Here is a 25,614-nt window from a genome sequence, read left to right as displayed (position 1 = left end):
AAGAAGCTGAAACACTTCTCCCCATGCTACCCAATGTCCACATATTCCACTAATTTAAGCTCATGATTCTGCTCCCCACTAGCCTAGCTCTAAAGGAAAGAAAGAGTACTAAGAAAAGGATGGTCTTGGAATGGGAAAGAAACATCACAATTTCTTTTTCTTTTTTTTTTTTTTTTTTGAGACAGAGTCTCACTCTGTCGCCCAGGCTGGAGTGCAGTGGCGTGATGTCGGCTCACTGCAACCTCCGCCTCACAGGTTCAAGCAATTCTCTTCCTCAGCCTCCTGAGTAGCTAGGATTACAGGCGCCCGCCACCATGCCCGGCTAATTTTTGTATTTTTAATAGAGACGGGGTTTCACCATCTTGGCCAGGCTGCTGTTGAACTCTTGACCTCATGATCCACCCGCCTCGGCCTCCCAAAGTGCTGGGATTACAGGCATGAGCCACCACAGCCGGCAAAAATATCACAATTTCAAACAAAAATCAAACCTAAGTTACTTTCATATCTCCTTTAGAACGTTCAGTAACTTGTCATACAAAGTAAAGTCATGCACCACATAATGATGGTTTTAATCAACAACGAACTGCATATATGAGTGGTCCCATAAGATCATAAATACCCAGCCAGGCACGAAGGCTTATGCCTATAATTCCAGCACTTTGGGAGGCCAAGGCAGGGGATCTCTTGAGGCTAGGAGTTCAAGACCTGCCTGGACAATATGGTGAAACCTCGTCTCTACTAAAATTACAAAACTTAGCTGGGCATGGTGGTGCACATCTGTAATCCCAGCTACTACCTGGGAGGCTGAGGCACGAGAATTGCTTGAACCAGGAGGCGCAGGTTGCAGTAAGCCGAGATCGCGCCACCGCACTCCACCCTGGGCAACCGAGCAAGACTCTGTCTACAAAAATAAAGATTATAAATACCATAATTTTACTGTACCTTTTCTACGTTTAGGTACACAAATACTTACTACTGTGTTACAATTGCCTACAATATTCAGTACAGTAACATGCTGTACAGGCTTGTAGCCTAGAAGCAATAGGCTATACCATATACCCCAGGTGGGTAGTAGGCTGTAACATCCAGGAAGACAGGAAGGAAAGAAAGACGTAAGGGAAGACCACAAAACATCCAGAAAACAAATTACAAAATGGCAGGAATAAGTCCTTGTTTGTCAATAATAACACTGAGTGTAAATGGACTAAACTCACCAATCACAAGACTCGGGATAGCTGAATGGATTTAAAAAAAGAAGACCCATTAATCTGTTGCCTACAAGAAACACACTTCACCTATAAAGACACACACAGATTGAAAATAAAGAAATGGAAAAGATATTCCATGCCAATGGAAACCAAAACAGAGTAGGAGAAGCTATATTTGTATCAGACAAAATAGATTTCAAGACAAAAACTGTAAGAAGAGACAAAGAAGGTCACTATATAATAATAAAGAGGTCAGTTCAGCAAGAGGATATAAAAAAGTACTTTAATATATATGCACCCAACAGTGGAGCACCCAGATATATAAAGCAAATATTATTAGAGCTAAAGAGAGAAAGACTCCAATACAATAATAGCTGGAGATTTCAACATCCCACTTTCAGCACTGAACAGATCTTCCAGGCAGAGAATCAACAAAGAAATAGACCAAACGGATCTAATAGATATTTAAAGAATATTTCTTCCAACAGCTACAGAATATACATTCTTTTCTTTAGCATATGGATCATTCTCAAGGATAGACCATATGTTAGGTCACAAAACAAGTCTTAAAACATTTAAAGAAAAAAAAACCCACATAGTGTCAAACATCTTCTCCGACCACAATAAAATAAAACTAGAAATCAATAGCAAGGGGAATTTTGGAAACTATACAAATATATGTAAATTAAATGATTTGCCCCTGAATGACAAGTGGGTCAATGAAGAAATTAAGAAGAAAATTGAAAACTTCCTTGAAACAAATGATAATGGAAACATAATATACCAAAACCTATGGAATACAGCAAAAGCTGTACTAAGAGGGAATTTTATAGCTACAAGTGCCTACATCAAAAAAAGGAAGAAAAACTTTAAATATACAAGCTAACAATGCATTTTAAGGACTAAAAAAGCAAGAGGAAAACAAACTCAAAAGTAGTAGAAGAAAATAAATAATAAAGATGAGAGCAGAAATACAGGAAATTGAAATAAAGAAAATACAAAAGATGAATCAAAAAGTTGGTTGCTGGAAAAGTTAAAACGGACAAACCTTAAGCCAGACTAAGGAAAAAAGAAGATCCAAATAAATCAGAGGTAACAAAGGAGACAGTACAACCGATATCACAGAAATCCGAAGAATCATTAGTGGCTACTACTAGCAAATATATGCCAATAAATTGGAAAACTTAGAAGAAATAGACAAATTCCTAGACACATACAACCTACCAAGATTGAAACATGAAGAAATCCAAAACCCAAACAGACCAATAATAAATAATGAAATTGAAGCCATAATTAAAAGTCTGACAGTAAAGAAAAGCCATGACCCAATGGTTACACTGTTGAATTCTACCAAACATTTAAAGAAGAACTAATACCAATCCTACTGAAACTATTCCGAAAAATAGAGGAGGGGGAATACTTCCAAACTCATCCTGCAAGGCCAGTATTACCCTAGTACCAAAACCATAAAAAGACACATCAAAAGAAGAAAACTAAGGACCAATATCCCTGATGAATATTCATACAAAAATCCATAACGAAATACTACCAAATTGAACTCAACAACACATTAAAAAGATCATTCATCATGACCAAGTGAGATTTATCCCTGGGACACCAGAATGGTTCAACATATACAAATCAATCACCATATATCGTATCAACAAATGAAGGACAAAAACCATATGACCATTTCAATTAATGCTGAAAAAACACTGATAAAATTCAACATCCCTTCTAATAAAAACCCTCAAAAACATGAGTATAGAAGAAACACACATCAACATAATAAAAGCCATATACAAAAGACCCACAACTAGTATCACACTGAATGGGGAAAAACTGAAAGCCTGTCTTTTACGATCTGAAACATAACAAGGATGCCCACTTTCACCACTATTATTCATTATAGTACTGGGAGTCCTAGCTAGAGCAATTAGACAAGAGAAAGATATAAAGGGCATCCGAATTGTAAAGGAGAAGTCAACTTATCCTTGTTTGCAGATGATATGATCATATATTTGGAAAAACATAAAAAATCCACCAAAAAACTATTAGAATTGATACTATTAAGAACTGACTAATTCAGTAAAGTTGCAAGATACAAAATCAACATACAAAAATAAGTAGCATTTCTATATGTGAAATGTGAACAAATTGAAAAAGAAATTTAAAAAGCAGTCCCATTTACAATAGCCACCAAAATAAATAAATAAATACATACCTAGGAATTAACCAAAGAAGTGAAAGATCTCTGTAACAGAAACTATACTATATTGATGAAAGAAATTGAAGAGGATACCAAAAAATGGAAAGATATTCCATGTTTATGGGTTGGAAGAATCAATATTGTTAAAACGTCCATACTACCCAAAGCAATCTACAGATTCAATGCAATCCCTATCAAAATACCAATGACACTCTTAACAGAGATATAAAAAAAACCCTAAAATTTATAGGGAACCACAAAAGACTCAGAATAACCAAAGCCATCCTAAGCAGAAAGAACCAAACTAGAAGAATCACATTAACTGACTTCAAATTATATTACAGAGCTATAATAAACAAAACAACATGGTACTGGCATAAAAACAGGCACACAGAACAATAGAACCGAGAACCCAGAAAAAAATCCACACGCCTACAGTGAACTCATTTTTGACAAAGGTGCCAAAAACATACATGGCAGAAAAGACAGTTTCTTCAATAAATGGTGCTTGGAAACTGGATATATATATGCAGAAGAATGAAACTAGACTCCTATCTCTCACCATATACAAAACTCAAATCAAAATATTGATTAAAGACAAAAATCTAAGACCTCAAACTATGAAATGACTAAAATAAAACACTGGGGAAACTCTCCAGGGTATCGGTCTGGGCAATGATTTCTTAAGTAATACCCCACAAGCACAGGCAACCAAAGCAAAACTGGACAAACGGGATCACATCAAATTAAAAAGCTTCTCCACAGCAAAGTAAACAAGCAACAAACAAACAACCCACAGAATGGAAGAAAATATTTGCAAACTACCCATCTGACAAAGGATTAATAACCAGAATATAAAAGAAGCTAGGCCAAGCACGGTGGCTCAGGCCTGTAATCCCAGCACTTTGGGAGGCGGAAGCGGGTGGATTACCTGAGGTCAGGAGTTCAAGACCAGCCTGGCCAACATGGTGAAACTCCGTCTCTACTAAAAATACAAAAAATTAGCTGGGCGTGGTGGCAGGCACCTGTAATCCCAGCTACTTCGGAGGCTGAGGCAACAGAATTGCTTGAACCCGGGAGGTGGAGGTTGTAGTGAGCCGAGATTATGCCATTGCACTCCAGCCTAGGCAACAAGAGCGAAACTCCATCTCAAAAAAAAAAAAAAAAAAAAAAAAAACTCAAACAACTCTACAGGAAAAAATTAATAATCCAATTTAAAAACAGGCAAAAGTTCTGAACAGACATTTTCAAAAAAAAAACAGACATACAACTAGCAAACACACGTATGAAAAAGTGTTCGGCCGGGCACAGTGGCTCACGCCTGTAATCCTAGCACTTTGGGAGGTTGAGGCAGGCAGATTGAGCTCAGGAGTTTGAGACCAGCCTCGGCAACATGGTGAAACCCTGTCTCTACTAAAATACAAAAACAAAAAATTAGCCAGGCATAGCGGTGTGTGCCTGTAGTCCCAGCTACTCGGGAGGCTGAGGCAGGAGAATTGCTTGAATCTAGGAAGTGGAGGATGCAGTGAGCCAAGATCATGCTACTGCACTCCAGCCTGGCCAACAGAGCAAGACTCCATCTCAAAAAAAAAAAAAAAAAAGTGTTTAACATCACTGATCATCAGAGAAATGCAAATCAAAACTACAATGAGATATCATCTTACTCCAGTTAAAATGGCTTTTATCCGAAAGACAAGCAATAATCAATGCTGGCAAAGATGTGGAAAAAAGAGAACCCTCATACACTGTTGGTGGGAATGTAAATTAGTACAACTGCTATGAAGAAGAGTTTGGACGTTCCTTAAAAAAACTAAAAATTTAGCTACCATATGATCTAGCAATCCCACTGCTAGGTATATAGCCCCAAAAAAGGAAATCAGTGTATCAAAGAGATATCTGCACTCCCATGTTTACTGTAGCACTGTTCACAATAGCCAAGATTTGAAAGCAAGCTAAGTGTCCATTAGCAGACGAATGAACAAAGAAAATGTGGTACATATACACAGTGGAGTACTATTCAGCCATAAAAGAGAATGAGATCCTGTCATGTGCAACATGGATGGAACCAGAGGTCACTGCGTTAAGTGAAATAAGCCAGGCAAAGAATGACAAGCATCTCATGTTCTCACTTATTTGTGGGATCTAAAAATCAAAACAACTGAACCCATGGAAAAAGAAGGATGGTTACTAGAGGCTGGGAAAGGTAGTGGTGGGATGAGGGAGAGGTGGGGATGGTTAATGGGTACAAAAAAACAGGATGAATGAATAAGACCTAGTATTTGACAGCACAACAGGGTGACTATAATCAATTACTGGGGTTCAATCAGGCTGGTGGGAAAAATATTGAAGATAGTTATAGAGACAGACACAAATCTTCTTGGAAGGCCGAGAGTTTGCATAACTTCAGTAATAGACATGGTTGAAGGCAACCTGATCTTTACCTTTAAACAAATTAAACTAGTAATAAAGGAAGGCAGAGTAGTTTACCTAGCTAGCTTGTTTACTCATATAATCTTAAGACTAACCTTTGATGTGCCATGGGTGATTAAGGGCTTTTTACTTGGAAAGTCCACAATGTCAATTACCTCTAATGGTGTTGACTCAAGCCTTTGTTAATTAATCTTACCGCATAAATGCAAGTCTCACTTGCTGATCGAGGTCATGGTCACAACTGTTTACAGAACCCTCCAGGGAGTCTGTAAACAGCTGAGACACCCTCAGCTGGACTGGCAAAACAGAATATCTGTGTGTCAGTGTACTTTATTCATCCGTGGCCGGGTCAGGGTCTATGGGCAGACCCCGGCAGCTGGTGCCCCTGTGTGAGGGGTGCTGCCGCAATCAATAATTTAATTGTACATTTTTAAATAACTAAGAGTGTATTTGGATTGTCTGTAACACAAAGGATAAATGCTTGAGGGGAGGGATACTGCATTGTCCATGATGTGATTTTTACACATTGCACGCCTGTGTCAAAACATCTCATGTATCCCATAAATACATATACCTACTATGTACCCGCGAAAATTAAAAATACATTTTTTTAAAAAAATCAATAAGTAGTACAATTCACTGGTTGTCCTTACTACCCAATTTTCAAAATAACAAATTCTGTTTATTAAAATAGCATTATCATACCTTCTATACAAATTTAAGTTTTATAGTTCTTCCTAAGGAAATAAAAAACAGTAGAAAGCTAAATTTTTATGTGAAATCTGACATATGGATGCCAATCCCCAACATCTGCTATCACCATGGAATTAACCTTTATCAAAATTAGTTTACTTAGAAAATCTTAGTCCACTGTATAGTGTTCTTTACTTCTTTTTTTATAGCAAGAAATACAGCTAAATTGTTTTTCAAATCACACTGAAAAATGGCTTATTACTTTTTATATTTCTGGCTTAACTTTTATTCCATTGACTTTTAACCTACTTAACCAAAAGTATACCAATTAAAATTCAAGGTAAACATAATGTCTAATTCACCTTAAGAAATCCGAAAGAACCATTACAAAATAAGCCTCCAAACTTAGCAAGCATATCAGAATGGCCAGACCCAAGGGAACGTATTAGCAATATTTTCACCTTACATATATGTAAATTTTATTATTACTTCCACATCTGTGGTGCATTAGGTACAACAGTCACCTCTGAACCCTTTACACAGTGAACACATGGTGGACTATTACAAAATTAGTAGCTAGGGTAACATCTTAAGGAATTATTAATAATTTTGTTATCCAGCCAGAGGATAGCTACAGAGTTGGACAAATAAGTTTTCCTAGGAAGATAATAAGGAATGACGGTGAGATACAAGGGAAATGACTTGGAGATGGTCACAAAAAGAATGGGCAAAAGTAGTAACAGGAAAAGATTATATAAAATCTTCTAGAAAAAAAATATAGCAAAAAAAAGTCAAATGAGAATGAAGATGGATGATTGTGAAAGACAGAAAATACTATAAAAGTTCCACTCTTAATTTTCTAAATACAAAATACATTCCTGAAACCTCAAATTCCTGAAACTCCAAAACAAAGTCTAAATAAAACTGAGATGTAGGCCGGGCACGGTAGCTCACTCCTGTAATCCCAGCACTTTGGGAGGCTAAGGCGGGCAGATCATGAGGTCATGAGATCGAGACCATCCTGGCTAACATGGTGAAACCCCGTCTCTACTAAAAATACAAAAAATTAGCCAGGCATGGTGGCGGGCACCTGTAGTCCCAGCTACTTGGGAGGCTGAGGCAGGAGAATGGCGTGAACCTGGGAGGAGGAGCTTGCAGTGAGCCGAGATTGCACCACTGCACTCCAGCCTGGGTGACAGAGCGAGACTCTGTCTCAAAAAAAAAAAAAAAAAAAAAAAACTGAAATGTAGTACTTGACATAGTTTCTAGCTAAAGTAATAACCAACAAAACTGATTCAATTATGTCATTTTCTAAGAGATAAAGAAATAAAAACATCAGGAAAAAAATTAAGACTAATCAGGTCAAGTGGTTACGCATGTAAAACTCAACTATTCAGATAACAGTGGCTAGTTAAATGAGACAAGATAGCTTAGTACATGGGGCACAGAATACAGCCCTGCTCCCAAAAAAATGTCATATAACTTTAAGAAAGCCACTATATCATCTCTAAAGCTAAAATAATGTAGTCTCAGTAAGAATAGTGATACTGCATCAATAATTAATACAGTGTGTTGGGGTTTTTTTCCCTTTCTTTCTTTTTCTGAGACGGAGTTTCACTCTTGTTGCCCAGCCCGGCGTGCAATGGCACAATCTCAGCTCACTGCAACCTCTGCCTCCTGGGTTCAAGCCATTCTCCTGCACAGTGGCTCACACCTATAATCCCAGCACTGTGGGAGGCCAAGGCGGGCAGATCACCTGATGTCAGGAGTTTGAGACCAGCCTGGCCAACAAGGTGAAACCCCGTCTCTACTAAATATACAAAAAAAAATTAGCCGGGCATGGTGGCGGGCGCCTGTAACCCTAGCTATTCAGGAGGCTGAGGCAGGAGAACACAACGTTTTCTGAGTGAGGAGACACTATGGAAAGAGAACAGGTTCCTGGCTTCTAAAAAGAGAAAAAAAGTATTTATTAACCAAGTTATTTCAATATATTTAAAAAAGTCTTATCTTCCTTCCCCTAGAATATAAGAAGCTGACAAAACCACATGACAATTATGAAGACAGGTATTATTGCTTGAATCTGGGTCACTAAAATTATTAGCTGTTCAAGTGAGATAAAAGAAAGGGGAAACATCAATTATCTAGAAGTCTACATTTTCTTTGCTGTTAATGTGAAACATATCCCACACAAAACCATTCAAATAAGATATATATCCCTACATTTGAGTCTCCAGGAACAGGTCCTTTGAAGCAAAGATTGGACAAATAGTTAAAATTATTTAAACAATTCCTGATCACCAAATGTCAACAAATTTAGTTAAAAAAAATTTTTAATCCATACAGTTAACATCCTACTTTAATATTTTTTCCTAAAAAAGAACATGAAAGTTCAACTAATACAAAAAAGCCTCGCAGTTTTAAAGAAGGGGGTGTAGGTGGGAGAAGTAAGAAATTCAAACAGCTTCAAGGACAAAAAGCATGTCCCACACCAGAACATATTTACAACTCTTCAACTTGAATTCAACTAACATCCAACTGCGGCAATCAGCCAAGCTTGGCAAATTAAAATAACAGTAATTTTGACAGATTATCTTCTATAAATATTCAAATATGAACATTTGTGTTCACGCAAAGGTCTCCATATGCCAATCAAAATGCTTTGTTAAGGATCCTAACATTGAGCTTTTTTCTTCACCCATCTGTAGGAATCCCCTGAATCCTTAACTTCCATTTTAACTCTCTCACCCCAGCTAATTGTGAGACACATTATCTGTCTAGTTGTAGCCTGAATTAAAAACTTAAGGATAACATTCACATAGTATCAACAGACAAAAGGAACCTAGAACCTTTCAAAATCTAGGTCTGTAAAGACAAAAGGAAAGATCCAGGAAGGCAGGGAGGGAAGGGCAGAGAGAGGCTCTTGAAGGATGGCAACCAAATGAAAGATTACCTTTCTATTTGTGTTAGCAGATAGAAATTACTGAAAGTAAAATCTAGATGTAAAGAGAAATTAACAATTTCATAAATTTGGGCTCTATTCAAAGTTTCATTTGGCTCAAGGCAAGATGCTGTGTTTTAATGACAAGTTTAAGTATATGAAACTGTCAAAAGCAGAGAAATGCCATCAGTATGAAATTCACACTAAACACACTTTTTGAAATCTGCAGATGTCCTATCATCAGGAACAATCAATAAATAAGAGTAACAATGGCTTTAATGAAAGCAAGTTATCTGATGCATGAATTTGTTAATTGTTCTATTCTGTCCTCCATTACTCAGTTTCCCTTAAATATGTACACAATTACCAAGCAGTCTCACGCCTTCCAGGAAAATTACAAGTGATAGGCACATTTCTGCATTCAGGGCAGCATTATATTATGGAAGAAAATTTAACCTATTCAGAAGCATATATTTCTCTGATCCTACCTGGAAAGAAACAGCTATAAATAGCTCTACTAAAATTGCTCAAAATATTTCTAGACGGGCAGGCTTACAATAGAAACTCTTACTTTATGATCACTCACCACTCAACCATCCAAGTCCAACACTGGATCTAAGCCAAACCAGTAGTTCTCAAGGGAGGGAAGGGAGTTAAAAAAGTCTGGTCTAGGGACCAGTAGCTCCAGCCTCCCCTGGGAGCTTGTTAGAAATGCACAATCTCAGGCCTTACCCAGGGACATATTGAATCAGAATCAGTATTTTACCAAGATCCTCAACTGATTCATATACACATTAAAATTGAAGAAGCTCTGCAGGAGGGGGAATTTTTGAATGAGTAAAAAAGGCATAATCTTTTCAGAGGTTGGTTACCACTGCAGACCACTGTTTGGCTAATAAGCAACCAATTTTAAAACTTTGTTTATGGGTAACATCATTACTTTTACCATTATTTATTTTACATTTTAAATAAGGGCTTTTAAAAAACAGAAATACCTCAAGAGGCAAAGAAGGAGTATCTAATGATTAAATGTAAGTTACCAAAAAAAGCTGTAACAGAATTATCTCAGAATAAGTGGACCCGGGCCGGGCACGGTGGCTCACACCTGTAATCCCAGCACTATGGGAGCCTAAGGCGGACAGATCACTTGAGGTCTGGAGTTCGAGACCAGCCTGGGCAACATGGTGAAACCCTGTCTCTACTAAAAAGACAAAAATTAGCCAGGCATGGTGGTGGGTGCCTATAATCCCAGCTACTCGGGAGGCTGAGGCAGGAGAATCACTTGAACCTGGGGGGTGGAGATTGCAGTGAGCTGAGATCCCACCACTGCACCCCAGCCTGAGTGACAGAGTGAGATTCTGTCTCAAAAAAAAAAATAACAATAAATAAGTGGACCCAGCCAGGCATGGTGGCTCACACCTGTAATCCCAGACCACTTGGAGGCCAACATGGGTGAATCACTCGAGGCCAGGAGTTCGAGACCAGCCTGGCCAACATAGCAAAACCTCGTCTCTACAAAAAATACAAAAATTAGCTGGGTGTGGTGGCAGGTGCCTGTAGTCCCAGCTACTTGGGTGGCTGAGGTGAGAGGACTGCTTGAGTTTGGGAGCTCGGGACTACAGAGAGCCAAGATTACACCACTATATTCCAGCCTGGGCATCAGAGCAAGACACTGTCTCAAAAAAAAAAAAGAAAGAAAAGAAAAGACAAAGTAGACCCGTCTCATGCCCCCTCCCCCATCACATTAACTAAACAAATTAATTTTTTAAATAATAATAACAACTTTCCTTCCAAACCCTCAGCATTAAGAATATCTGGGTCTGGGGTCCAAGTAGCTAGGAAAAGAGACCAAGAGACCAAAGGCCTATGGCCTCCTTTGACCAGAAGAGAAGGCTATATATACTGGTTATTCAGCTATTTTCTCTCAGATCCAAATCTACCCTTTAATACTCATCTTTGTAATACTGAAAATAAAACTCTGAAAACTACTTTTCTCTTCTGCAGCTAGCTTCCTCACACTGCCAATAAGGACACTAGAGGGAGAATGCAGTACATGCTTTTTCCAGTCAGCATTGCCCAGCATAGATCCTCCACCCCAGCAGTAGCAGTGATAACCACCAGCTTTTTCTGGCACTCTCAGAAATTCCCCTCAGACATACCAACAGCTGTCAGGAAGTACCCCCTCCAGAGGTTTTGAACCCCAATTCTATGAGGTCCCAACTCCAAGTTCTTATTTCCCCCTCAACCATATGAATAGTGGCTAATTCCTGCAAATATTGTCTCTGTGTTACCCCAGTGTTCCCTGTTTGCTTTTTCAGCCCTCCAATACCTGTATAATCCCTTCCCTGTATTAAATTTTCTGGGCTGAAATTTTTTGTTTTTGTTTGTAATTCTGTAGAGACAGGTCTTACTATGTTACCCAGGCTGGTCTCAAACTCCTGGTCTCAAGAAATCCTCCTGCCTCGAGTATTTAGTGTGGACTGTTTTCCTGACCTGATCCTAACTGAGCCATCATGGCTAGATGGAATAAAATTTAACATGATCTTGATCGCTTTGGAAAACGGTCTTCCCAAACATGGTAAGTCCATAAGAAAATATTTACTGCCTCTCCTCCAAAATAGGTGCAAGATGGGAAATGGATACAAGAAGCACAGTTGAGGAAGAAAGAAGAAGCATAACCTAAGAAAGGAATATATTGAAACAAATATCATGGCATAAAACACATTTTAACCCTGAAAAACATAAAGAAAAGGCCAATAAAAAGTCTGAAGCAAATACAAGTTTTCAACGCTAATGAAAACCACAGATTTTTAGATCTATATTCTTCTGCCTCTGCCATTGTTCAGTTTTGTTACAGCAGTTTTGTATCTAGTTTGGGTTATTACACTTTAAGGAGACTATTGAGAAATTAGGGAAAGTCCAAAGAAGACTATACAAATGATGAAAAGGGATAGGAAATAGGATCCATAAAGAAAGGTTCAACAGTCAAACCTTTTAGTCTAGCGAAAAGAAAACTTCAGGCCAACATATTAACTGCCTTCCAGTTTAAGAGTTCTAACCAGCTGTCCACCATCATCTCTACAGAGGAAATGAGCTTAAAATGGAAGACAACAAAGTAAGAGAAGACCTAAAATGTAGCTTCTTAGCTTATGACTCTCCTTCAGATAACTAAAGTGGTGGCTCTTAATGCTAGTTTCACAAGAGAATGATCCAGGATATTTTTACCGAAAGAAAAAATGATGATGATGATGACGACAATGATGACGACGATGATGCCCAGAACCCCAAAGGCAAAGCTCTAATTTAACTGGTATGACACAGAGCCAAGGCATAAAGAACAAAAAATATCTAAGTGTTTATAATATACTGAAAGCAGGAATGAGAACCACTTAATGGAACACTGCATAACTGTGCTACTCAAAGTGTGTTATAAGAATGAGCTACATCCAGATTACCAACAGGAGCTTGTTGGAAAGGTAACATCTCATCCTATTCCAAAACTACTGAATAAGAATCTACATGTTATTATGATCCCTACACAATCCCATATGCACATTAAAGTTTGAAAAACATTGTTCCATAACAGTTTGAAAGGGGCGTTAAGTGTGTATGTGAGACCAAACACCAGCCTAAAAATAACTAAGCTGAATTTTTCTGAGCTTTTAAATATAAAAATTTTTTTACCCTAAGGTCAATTAGAGTTTACTAAGAAGACTATTTTAGAGAGTGAATAATACTTATAACTAAATATTCAACACATACTATTTGCTGGCATTTTTTTTTTTTTTTTGAGACAGGGTCTTGCTGTGTTGCTCAGGCTGGAGTGCAATGGTACAATCACAGATCACTGCAGCCTGGATAGACCTCGATGGACTCAAGCAATCCTCCTGCCTCAGCCTCCCATGTAGCTGAGACTACAGGCACACACCACCGCACCAGCCTAAGTTTTTCATTTTTTATACATATGAGGCCTCGCTTGTTGCTCAGAATTATCTCGAACTCCTAGGCTCAAGTAATCCTCCCACCTCGGCCTCCCAAAGTGTTGGGATTACAGGCACAAGCCACTGCACCCAGCCCATTATTCTTTACAAATTGATTTAATCATCAACACACCTATAAAGTAGATATTTATTAATAATTAGTTATGGCAAAATAAGATATTAAATAATTTGCCCCATGTACTACTTAAAAAAAAAAGTGGTAAACCTGAGACTTGAGCTGTACTCTGTTTGAGGGCCTCTACTTAACCACAAAATAATTCTAGTTTATCAACACCATCCCCAAACATTCTGAAATCATTCAGAATGAAAGTATAATAACTGGTAATGAAAATGCTATAAGGGTAAAGAAAAAATTAGTGTGCTCTTCTCTGGTTAAAAAAAAATTCAGCCAGGTATGGTGGTGTGTGTGTGTGTCTGTAGTCCCAGCAACTTGGGAGGTTGAGGCAGGAGAATCACTTGAGCCTAGGAGTTTCAGGCCAGCCTGGGCAACATACAGTGAGATCACTGTCGCTTGAAGAAAAATTTTTGGTAATAACCACTGTTATTTATATTTGGGAAGTAACTGAAATCCTATGTTGGGAGACACGTTCTTACCCAATGCCTCCTTAATTCATCCCTACAACTATTACTACTTCCACAACCATTACCACCACTACAACCCTCAGAAAAGTAATGTACATGAGGCTATAATTATTTTTCACAATGAAAGAGGCATGACATAAATTTAGTCTGATTTTTCTCCTTCTCTGTATCCCACTGCTTCCAACCTCTAAAAAAGTCTACTGTTTCCATCTGCTACTATAGAACCAAAAATTCCTATTTCAGTAAGACCCAAATGTTACTTCTGAAAATATTGAGGAAAACTTGTAAAGGAGAAGTCAGACAGAGACTGTCAGTAAAAAGCCTACTAGAAGTTTTAACAATTCATTGAATTCTAAATAGCATGAAAGAATAGTCAAAATTCTCAGAGATAAATAACATTGTTGTACTGGCAGATAGATTGAGTTTAAAATATGCAAAATTATATTCTATGAGTATTTAAAGCAGAGCATTACTAACATATTTTGGCTTCATTCAGTACAAGCACATTCCAAAAAAAAAGCATACAATACCTTTTTAATTAACAATGACACAACAAACCCTGGTGACCTAGTTTCTGATAATGAACAAAACTACAGATATTAAAAATACAGTTACTTAACCCATAAGAATTATTAAAGTGGATACTGGAGCCAAAAAGATTTGTGGGCTAAAGATACCAATGCAAAGACTCACTGAAATTAGTCTTCCAAACACTTAAGTTTAAAATTATGACGTGAGGCAATTTATTGGTTCCTTTGAGTAAGATTTTACTTGAAGAATCTAAAAAAAATAAGGTCATGTGAAGCACTGTGGGGATACAACTTGATTTCCTAAAAAGTCGAGTGAGACTTCCCAGGAAGGCAAAGATAAAACTCAAAAGAATAGACAGATAAAATCTAAAAGAGCGTTCTTAGGGAGCAAAGCAATAGTAGAAAACACAGAGGCTGAGCATTCCTGATTATTCTTTCATTAAATAATATGACTAATAAAATGACTCTGACCAAAACTCCCTGAAAATTTCTATCTGCTTTGAAATCTTATTAGTTATATAAATTATTTGTAGTTATGCTTTTCTTCTAGTTAGCAGCAGAAAATCGCTCCCTTCCCCTCTCCACCTAGCTTCATAACAGCACATTCTCAATCTGCTCTCCTTTCCCACCCTATTCGGAGACTATAAACTGAGTAAAATATGACATATTTTATAGTAAATTGAGACTATTTTACTCATAGTCTCAACAATCATTTTGTTTGAATAACTGAATAAAATGATATATTCATTTTAAAATACTCCAAATAAGTAAATTGTATTTTATAAATTTTAATATTTTAATATTTACTAAACATTAGCTGAATGAATGTCACCACCCATTAAACTCTTATAACATACAAAAATCACATATATGTAAACATTTAAATGGAAAAAATTTACCACCTCCATTACCAATAAAATGGAAAGCTCATTACATCAAATAAAAATATTTAAAAATCATTAGAATCATTTTTTAATCATCGGGAAGAATAAATTAAAAAGATGATTCAAAAACTTCATAGAGAATAAGAATTATGATTAAGCTTATAAAACTGCAGGGTCTGGGCTCCACGGCCAGAGATCCTGATTCAGACTCAGAGTTTCAGATGACAAACACAAAACTCTACATTTTAACAAGCTTCCAAGGTAATTACCATGCAGATTATCCTTGAACCACACTCTAGTAAATATTTCACCTTCAAACCACTGTCAACTTCCAAACAAGTCCTTCAGATCTGATCAAAATGCCCATTCCCATCTTTCATCTTAGGAACATCAACTTCTGATTAAGGAATCAACATATAGAAAAAGTAATAGCAACCGGTTACTGGACATATATTACCGTTGGAAATGAACTTTTACATACTCTAATATACACATACAAATTAAATTATATACTGCATATGAAGTATGTAACACAGTGTCTGGCTGGAATAAATAAATGCTCAATAAAAAGAGCAGCATTTATCCTTAAACTTCATCACAACCCTAGGAGGTGGTTGCTATTATTTCCAATTTGCAGTTGAGGAAACTGAGGTCTAGTAACTTGCCCAATGTCACAGGGGTAGTTAAGGGTCAGAGACAGAATTCAAGACAACCCATGTGACTCCAAAACCTGAACTCTTTAATCTAGGCTAACTTTCTGAAGCACCACGGCAACAACAGCAAGCACAAAACCACTCCACAGCCATACCCCATAGAAGAATTTTCCTGAGTCATACCAAGAAAATCATGGCCAGAGTCCATTCTCACACTGCTATGAAGAACTGCCCAAAATTGGGTAATTTATAAAGAAAAGAGGTTTAATTGACTCACAGTTCTGCATGGCTGGGGAGGCCTCAGGAAACTTACAATCATGGCAGAAGGGGAAGAGGCATGTCTTACATGGCGGCAGGCAAGAGAGAGCGAGTGGGTGAAGGAGGAACTGTCAGACACGTATAAAACCATCAGATCTCATGAGAACTCACTAACATGAGAACAGCATGGGGGAACGACCCCCATGATCCAGTCACCTCCCACCAGGTCTCTCCCTTGACACGTGGGGATTATGGGGATTACAATTCAAGATGAGATTTGGGTGAGGAGACAAAGTCTAACCATATCAGATACTCTTATAAATGTTCCTATATGACTAAAAGTGAAAGAAGGGCAGTCATAGGACTATGATGGGTTGAGGTTGCTAAAAATGTTTAATGTTTCACAGCACTTGAGAATTACAAATTAGGAAATCTATGTAATAATAATTCTAAAAGGAATATGACTGAAAATATGTTAAAGGAATCTATTCCAAAATCACTCAGGGTTAGCTTTTTAACTCAAAGATGGTACAAACTCAGTCTTATGGTTCTCCACATCTAGGCAGCCTCAAGGGGGCCAACTAAGAGACTTATTTCCTCCCCTCAAAATATAAACATAATTAGTATTTACTTCAAAGTTATCTATTTAACGTGATTTTTTTCTACTTAAATTTTTCTAAAATCTGATTATGTTCCTAATGATTAATTTTTTGTGTCTAAATTTATTTTTTAAAACACTACACTTTCCTAAAAATGTCTGTTTCTCCCCTCATCTCAAGTTCCTACTAAATGGTTTTCTTCCTTCCAAGTGTATTTCTAGCTTGTCTATTCCCACCACCTATCCCCAAAATGGTAAGCACTGGTTTCCAAAATACCTCCTTACCCCTACTTGAACCAAGACTACATTCACAACAAATATAACACAATTAGTCATAGCAAAAAATATTATATACTGATAACATTAGCATATTACAAATTCAGAAAATGGAAAAATGATAAGTGTGTTTTATTCTGCTAAATTATATAGAAAACTTGTATTTTAACCTGGTATCTCTCAATTAGCAATACAAATCCTATTGCTGTTGTTTAGTTTTTTAAACCCTACAAATAGCTAAGATTTTTAAAAATTAAATATATTATAATTAGGCTCTTAGCCAAATAAAATATGATACACAGATAAAGAGCAATATACAAATGGACCATACCCCGGAGGAACACATAACTCCCATTTGTTCACACTCTCCTTAAAAGAAACAAAATATCCAGTACTACTACATCCAAACCAGAGGTGATGATTCACCAGAGTGCTCCTGCCCAAGGAACCCCAGTGCAAGAAGCAGCAGCCAAAGTGAAAACTCTGCTTGAGACCTGTTCATTTAATATGTAAAAACAGGTATCTCAATTACCTAACTTTTCACAAAGAATACATGACTTTTTTTAACTTTCATAGTTAGAAAAGATTTGCTATAGTTTTTTAAATGTGATTATTTAATTTACTGGGTTTTTTTTTTTTTTAAGGGAAAAGCAAACTTCAGTAATTCCTGCCTGAGGAATGAAACTATAAACATATTAAATCCTATAAAAAGAAAAAAAAAGGTTCTGAAAGGTTCCAGAAAGAGGTACAAAGTCCCTAAACCAACAAACACCATGTTTCACACTAAGTAAGAACTGTGTGCCTCTCCTCCAGAGCTCTATCTAGAGAAAAAGCATTGAGTTTTTAGGTAAAACCAGAGCCCAGAACTACGATAGCAGAAATTCTGGAGTCTCTTGGAAGTCCTTCTAACTATACAACAAAGCCTCAATCAGCAGAAACCTAAACATTTGGTAAACCTTCCTCCCCACTTCCTTAAGTATAAAAAATATCCTTTCTCTTCCGTCTCCTGAATTCTGGAACCCTTCAGAACCTTACTTTTTTTTCTTTTTATAGGATTTAATATGTTTATAGTTTCATTCCTCAGACAAATACCTAATGCATGCGGGGCTTAAAACCTAGATGATGGGTTGATAGGTGCAGCAAACCACCATGGCACATGTATACTTATGCAACGAACCTGCACATTCTGCACATGTATCCCAGAACTTAAAGTAAAATTTAAAAAATAAAAAATAAAAAAATACGTTGCCCCTCCTGAGTAGATTCTCTGGATACAACTGGAGAGCGATGCTTTGCAGCCCCAGATTCCTCTTCACTCCTTGTTTGTTACATACAGAGGGAGAATAAGCCATCTACTTGTAATTCAATCAGAAACTTTTTATGAACATAGCAACTACAATAAACCTTTTCTCTTCTAATAGTATGTAAATGCACTGTCTGGTAAGGTATTCAGTAGCCAAATGTAGCCATATGAAATGTGGTTAGTTTGAACTGAGATGTGCTATAAGTGTAAAATACACATGGATTTCAAAGACTTAATATGAATAAAAGAATGTAAAACTCTAATTGATATTTTTATATTGATTAGTTGTTGAAATATTTTGAATACATTACGTTAAATAACTGAAACCAATTTTAACTGCTTCTTTTTGCTTTTTAAATGTAGCTAACAAAAAGTTAAAAAATTACATGTGTGGTTCACTCTACATTTCTATTGGACAGCACTGGACTATAAACTAATGACCATAGCTTTTACTAAACTATACAAAGATCAAACTTGCATGTTTATATAGTATTATAAAATGTAGTCATTACAACAGCTAAACCAAAATTTCCTTTCTCCCTGACTAACAAAGCATATTACATTCACTCATCTGCTTCCAGGTTCCTTCCTTTCCTTATCTCTTCATCTAACCTTAAAATATTGAATAAATTTTATTCACCTCCTCCCCACTTCCACCCAAATTACCAGCCTTGAAATGTTAATCTTTTATTTCCAAACACTATCATACTTAGAAAAAAAAAAGGAGAAAATTTTTCCCAAAGAGGCCTCCAAGGTTATCCCTAAGAGACAATACATGGCAATGTTAAAGGTTTGGTCTCTAGAATCAATAGCCCAGCAAGAACTCTACCTTTTGCTGGGCAAATTATTGTAGCTCAGTTTCTTTTCTGTAACAGAGGGTAAATACTATTATTTACTATCAAACTAATCTTTCATTTAATTAATATTTAATATTAAAACATCAATTCTATAGGTTATAATATAAGAAAAGCATTTAGCACAGTACCTGAGACTTCAGTGCTAAGAATTATTAACCATTATTACTACCATTATTTCCTTTTTTGTCAAGCTTCCTGAACCTATCCCTTCTCTTTCTATTCCTAGCTTCCCCATCAACAGGTTCTCTCTTCAGTCAAGCCAAAATATATCTAACAAAATGAAAAGAATACAGAATAACAGAGGGAGAAGGTGGTCATTTGGGACTAAGAACTCCAAATACTGGAGCCCATAATAAAGTGGTCTGCATTACATGATAGAAAGATTCCTCACTATAAAAAGCCGTCAAGCTAAGTCTGGGATTCTGTAAAAAGTATCTTCACAGATGACTGAAATAGTTGTTTCTAAAGTCCCCCTTTAATCCTCTATGCCCTGGAAAGGTATACAATGCAGATATTAAAATCTAGACGCTATATCATTGGCAATACTCACCAAAGTCTAAAAATTGTACATTCCTTATGGCACTTTGACTTGGCCACTGATTCACGCTTGTACACAAAAAAATCAACAAGCTCCTATCTGCAACTATTGGAGAGCCCAAGTTTAAACTTTCACCTTATGGCAGGGAGAGAGATGGGGAGACAGAGAGGGAGTGGGGAGATAAAGGGGAGGAGAGAAGGGAAGCAGGTGGGGAGGGAGAGACAGAGACACGAAATGGTCAAAATTCCTACTTTGCCACTTGTGGTAAACAAGCCTCATGGACTTAGAGCAGATTCAGGTGGGTAACTCTTTGCCTAAGCCAAAATATAGGTAAGCTGAATCTCTTATTACCCTTTTCATATTCTGTCATATATTATAGACATTTACATTATGTTTTATTTCCTTTCTCTTCCTTCTCCTGAAATCTAAAGTCTACAACACTGCGTCTGACATATTAGGTACTTGATAAAAGAAAAACTTCAGCAGAATTAAATTTAAAGGAGTTTAACTGAACAATGAACAATCTGCAAATCAGGCACGCTCCTAAGCCAGAGTAGGCGCTGAGACTCCAGCACAGCCACATGGTGGAAGATTTAAGGACAGAAAAAGGAAAGTGATGTACAGAAAAAGGAAGTGACATACAGAAAAAGGAAGTGACGTACAAAAACAGCTGGACTGGTTACAGGTTGGTGTTTGCCTTATTTGAACACAGTTTGAACAGTTGACTACATTTGATTGGCCAAAACTTAGTGACTGGCACAAGTGTGGCTACAGTCTGTTTCTGCCTCCACTTGTTATAGCTCACAATATGCCTCCACTTGTTATAGCTCAAAAACCTTTAGGCTAAACTGAAGTAAGAAGGCAGCTTTCGGCTAAACTTGATTTAACATGCTTATAAATATCTGTCATGTTGGATTGAATCTACAGTTTTAATATGAAAAAAATATTACTTACCTTTGGTTTTTAAAACACTTTCATGTGATTTCACTTGATTGTCCCAACAATTGTATAATTAGGCACATTGAAGACATAATCTCATTTTTTGCTAAGTAACTGAAGCTCACAAGTCCAAGTAACTAATTCAAAATTATTCATTTTTTTAATGTCTTCATAAGCAAAATTTTATTCCAAGACCAGGCTGGCTGTAAGTGACAAAATCAGAACTTTACAGCACTATATTACATCACAACACATGACACCAGAGCTTCTCTTAAGAGAGAACCAGTGGGGTAAGGAAGAAGGCACAAAAAGATTGTGATGATGACAAGTTTTTAACAATGAGTTAAATCTATAGCCTCCCTATATAAAATTAACTTGTTTTTCACATTTCACTTTTCCTATCTTACTAAAGTCTCAAAGTTCTATTTACCTTCCTAAAAGATTTTCTGTTAATTCCTTTTTCCTCACATAATTATTAAGTTATACTTAATCATCAAAATTATATTCCATATCACATTTTACCTGCTACCTTTCCTCATACCTATAAATCAATTCGTGCTTTAAAAATTATGTGATTTTATAAATATAGTTCCCTTATTTTGCCTTAATGAATGTGTTTTATTATTCTTTTCAGTTCTCCAGTATTCTCTGAAATGGCTTCTGTTCAATTTTATCCAGTCTGAAAATAACCTATTGTCCCCATGCTGCTGATATTCCCACTGGACTCACATGAGAAAAGGACCAGAAGTTTCTCTGTAAAAATACTTGAAACAAGCAATCAGTCAACATTAGCTGACATTCAAGATTTAAAAAGCAAAGTTAACTTGCTACCTATTGTCATTACTGAGCTCATATTTAGAATGACCTATAAACCCCCTTTGATTAATGACAATTCACTGCACTTCTCTGAATATGTTTCCTCATCTGTAAGAAAGTTGGTCTCGATCTTTAGAATTCAAGATTTAAAGAGTTGTTGAGTCTGGGGATTTAAAAGTAAGTTTATTTACCCTAATCATTGATGTATTATTTTAATGCATATATTTGCACCTTGTCTACCCACTGTACTTTGAGGTAAGAACCATGTCCTATATAATTTTATACCCTTACCAGTTTTAATATGGTCCAATGCAAATACAGGCAAGTTTCACTTGGTCTTCTAACTAAAAGTGTTAAATTGTTGGCTTTAGCAGAAGGCTCTTCAAATTTCCCTATGTGCAATTCAACAAGTCACTACAATTTTGAACCAGATTCTGAGTAGGTAACACTGTAAAACTGTGGTGAGAATCCAAGATATGTTATTGTATCTTATGATCAATATTCAGCATAACTGCCATCTGCAAAAGAAATGGTAATTAACTCGGAAAGGGAAAAAGGCTCTAAACCTTGCTTTTTGCCACAGTCTTCCATAACCCTTATATATAATCTCTGACTGATTAACTAAAAACCAGACCTTAGAATGCCATCAACTCCCCAGATCAAAGCTCTGGGAGGAGGGAGGGATGTGACATAGATGTGTATTTAGTTTTTGATTTATCATAGTAGGTCTTTCTCTAAAAATTAAGACATTTGCCAAATTTGTTTTCAGATGAAGTCAAAGGCAATTTCCTAGTAGAGTAAAATTTGAAGAAATATATTTTTTTAACACAGATACAGGCTTTTGTAAATGTTTCCAGTCAACTTGTAATAATGTCAACATTAGCTCAAATTTAGATTGAAAACTATTACCCTTCTCAGTAGTTTGAGCAGATGCCTGGGCCTTGATAAAAATCACTAAACTGTGTTTAAAATATATGTGTATCTGTAAAATTCAATACAGACACAGCTGACAAAAATCACTTAACTGTGCATAGAGCAATACAAGAACTAAAAGGTTATGGGAACCTTAAAAGTCACATGTAATCATCACATCTGCATGCAGTTAAATACATAGACTCCAGTTTCAGAAATCCTGAGCTTACCAAAAACTTTTACAACTAAATTTGGGTTATTTGGGGTGGGGGTGAAAGAGATGCAAAAGGAGAGTAAACAGCCTCTTACAGCCCCTATTTTGACTAAATCTGCAGCTGTAATTACAGCTGTTCTGAAGCTTTTCTTGGAACTGCCCAATTACATTTAAATAATAACCAAAAGTAGGTTTAATGAACAGAAGAATTTGATAGGAAGACTTCTTCATAGTTAAAAGCTATTTTTGACTATATAATTAATATTTTATTATTTTTGCCCTGCAACTAATAGATTAAGAATTGTTATATAAATGCAAGAAGCTTTTTCTTCCTTGGGTTTTGGAGTTTTTAATGTTTTTTTGAAAAGAAAGTACACTGAATTTCTTTGATATTTGTGCAAAAACTTGCATGTAAGTTTCTTCTCCCTTGCCATGCCATCTGTTTTACTATGAAACAAGTCTATGACCCACATGACACGTGTGTGATACCAATAAACAAAACATAGAATCCTTTTTAATGTAATTCCAAATACATTTTCTAATGATGCATTTTACTCAAAAAAAGTTACAACATCAATCAACACAAATGAAGCTATACATATTTTAAGACTCATTTTTATGTTATATTTTAAATATGATCAACAGCTAATTTCCTGGACAATTATTCAAATAGGGAACTATTTTTTTAATCACAAATCTATAGAACTTTTTAAGTAACTGATCTGTCCATTTATAAAAACATTCTCAATGGCTGAAATTTTTTTAATTGCATGTTATGTTTTATCCCTGGATAGCAGAGATTCCTATAAAAACATCAATACTTTTAGGGAGAAATAAAAAAGGCTAATAAAGAAGCCTTTCAGGTTCCCTAAGATTTAATATACGGAGACTAAAAGAGATACGTCCCAGAAAATTAGAGAAAGCTAGGATACTGAACACTTGCTTCATATTCACCATTGTTACAGGTGGAGGAGAATGAGGTTAGGGAACAAAGTAACATGTTACAAAGAAAAGGTTCTTGCCAGTGACCGTTTAGTGTTAGATAAATCTGTTCTCTAACTTCCTCTGGCTATCAAAAAGAAAAAGCAACATTATTGAATTTTTCATGATAATTTGCTGAACAACAAAAAATCATAACTTTCTAATCATTGATGGAAAAATACTTAATACTACATGACAATACTAAAATATTGACTATATCTGACACATTTACCATGAGAGCCTCATGTAACTAATCAAATATATTTTCCATAGTTATAGTCAGTATATCCATGTAGAAATAGTAAACATATTATTCTTCAGGTTGTTTTTTTTCTATTCAAGTTGGTTCAAAAAGTACAAGGTCGATGGTGAACTTGATTAGGAAGGAATAGGAAACTCACCTCTTTTTCTGTACTCTGAAAAATTGGAAAGAAATGCCCCAATAATCCTAAATATGGTGGCCAAATATTCACACTTTCCTGAATAGGCCTATGTCTTCTATGGATGCTAACCAACACAGTCTGGTATTTAAATTAAAAGCTAAGCAAGCATTACAAGAGGAACACAAGGAGCCACAAAGCAAGAGGCAAACTAGCAGATACTAAGAAGATTTACATATTTAAAGAGGATAAAGATAATTTAATTTCAAAGCATAGATTATATTCACAGGAAATTGGCTCACCTGTAGTCAAAATGTACCTCATAAAGACAAAGAAATCACATGGAGCACAGAAAACAATTCACCAAACTCAAGAATGAACAGCGTTAAGCAGCAGCTGCTAGAAACCAGTAGTGCATTAAAAAGGTAGAAGAGAATAGCTGATCCTTTCAGTCACAAAACTGAGCTCCCTGAAAAGCACAGGCAGTCTTTGAAAGGTTGGGTGCATACACCGAAGCCTGCAAACCAACTATCAAAAATGATCTCATTTGACTTCTACTAGGATCATCACAGAAGGATGAAGCGAAATGAAAAAAGGCAATTGCAATTTAAGTTGAAGATGTGTCATCAACTAAAATAGCTGCTGCAAAACCCTATTCAAATCTCCCTTTCAGCCATATGTCTACTTTGAAGCTTTTCATTATCATATATTACTGTTTCCTCTACTACAGAGCACCTACATAACAGGATCCAAGACACACTGCAGGCTGGGTGAGGTAGCTCACGCCCCTAATCTCAGCACTTTGGGAGGCAGAGGTGGGAGGACTGCTTGAGGCCAGGAGTTTCAGACCAGTCTGGGCAACATAGCAAGACCCATGTCTAAAAAAAATTTTTAGCCAGACGTGGTGGCACACACTTGTAGTCCTAGCTACTCAGGAGGCTTAGACAGGAAGATCACTTGAGCTCAGAAATTCAAGGCTGCAGTGAGTTATGATCACACCACTGTACTCCAGCCTGGGCAACAGAGCAAGACCCTGTCTCTGAAATAAACAAAGAAAAAACTGCACAAAGAATGCAAGGAGCAAAGACTGAGAGAAATTTCCCACACCACAAAACACTAACTCCTTGATCTCTGAAATTTCACAAAGACAGCGCCTTCCAAAATCAAGAGCTGGGAATCTAAAATCATGAGCAAGATAATGGGCCCTTCTATTTTGGGGGGCTGGAACTGGGGGAGACAAGAAGAAAGGCCGCAAGAGCCAATGACAAAAAAATCTACTGTGAAGACACTAAAAACTGAGTTTTTTTTTTTTTTTTTTTTTGAGACGGAGTCTCACTCTGCTGCTCATGCTGGAGTGTGCAGTGGCACAATCTCTGCTCACTGCAACCTCTGCCTCCCGGGTTCAAGTGATTCT

The 25,614-nt window shown here is 36.6% G+C and overlaps 1 protein-coding gene across 13 annotated transcripts in view, besides 3 other annotated features; it reads right to left on the bottom strand.

Annotated features, from left to right (window-relative positions):
• Positions 1–25,614, bottom strand: part of FUT8 (fucosyltransferase 8) — a 387,280-nt gene that overhangs the window by 231,036 nt on the left and 130,630 nt on the right. The gene's annotated exons all lie outside the window — the stretch shown is intronic.
• Positions 5,642–6,340: an enhancer, noted in NCBI's record as "OCT4-NANOG hESC enhancer chr14:65973464-65974162 (GRCh37/hg19 assembly coordinates)". NCBI's record gives its function as "activates a minimal SCP1, AML or CMV promoter by ChIP-STARR-seq in naive H9 embryonic stem cells {active_cell/tissue: H9 hESC(naive)}" and the evidence as "EXISTENCE:reporter gene assay evidence [ECO:0000049][PMID:30033119]".
• Positions 11,336–11,505: an enhancer, noted in NCBI's record as "active region_8567". NCBI's record gives its function as "activates an Ori minimal core promoter by ATAC-STARR-seq in GM12878 lymphoblastoid cells {active_cell/tissue: GM12878}" and the evidence as "EXISTENCE:reporter gene assay evidence [ECO:0000049][PMID:35858748]".
• Positions 11,536–11,595: an enhancer, noted in NCBI's record as "active region_8566". NCBI's record gives its function as "activates an Ori minimal core promoter by ATAC-STARR-seq in GM12878 lymphoblastoid cells {active_cell/tissue: GM12878}" and the evidence as "EXISTENCE:reporter gene assay evidence [ECO:0000049][PMID:35858748]".

Source organism: Homo sapiens, chromosome 14 (assembly GCF_000001405.40).
Source record: "Homo sapiens chromosome 14, GRCh38.p14 Primary Assembly".
Lineage (NCBI taxonomy): Eukaryota > Metazoa > Chordata > Mammalia > Primates > Hominidae > Homo > Homo sapiens.
This window is presented reverse-complemented; position numbering and strand designations above follow the sequence as displayed.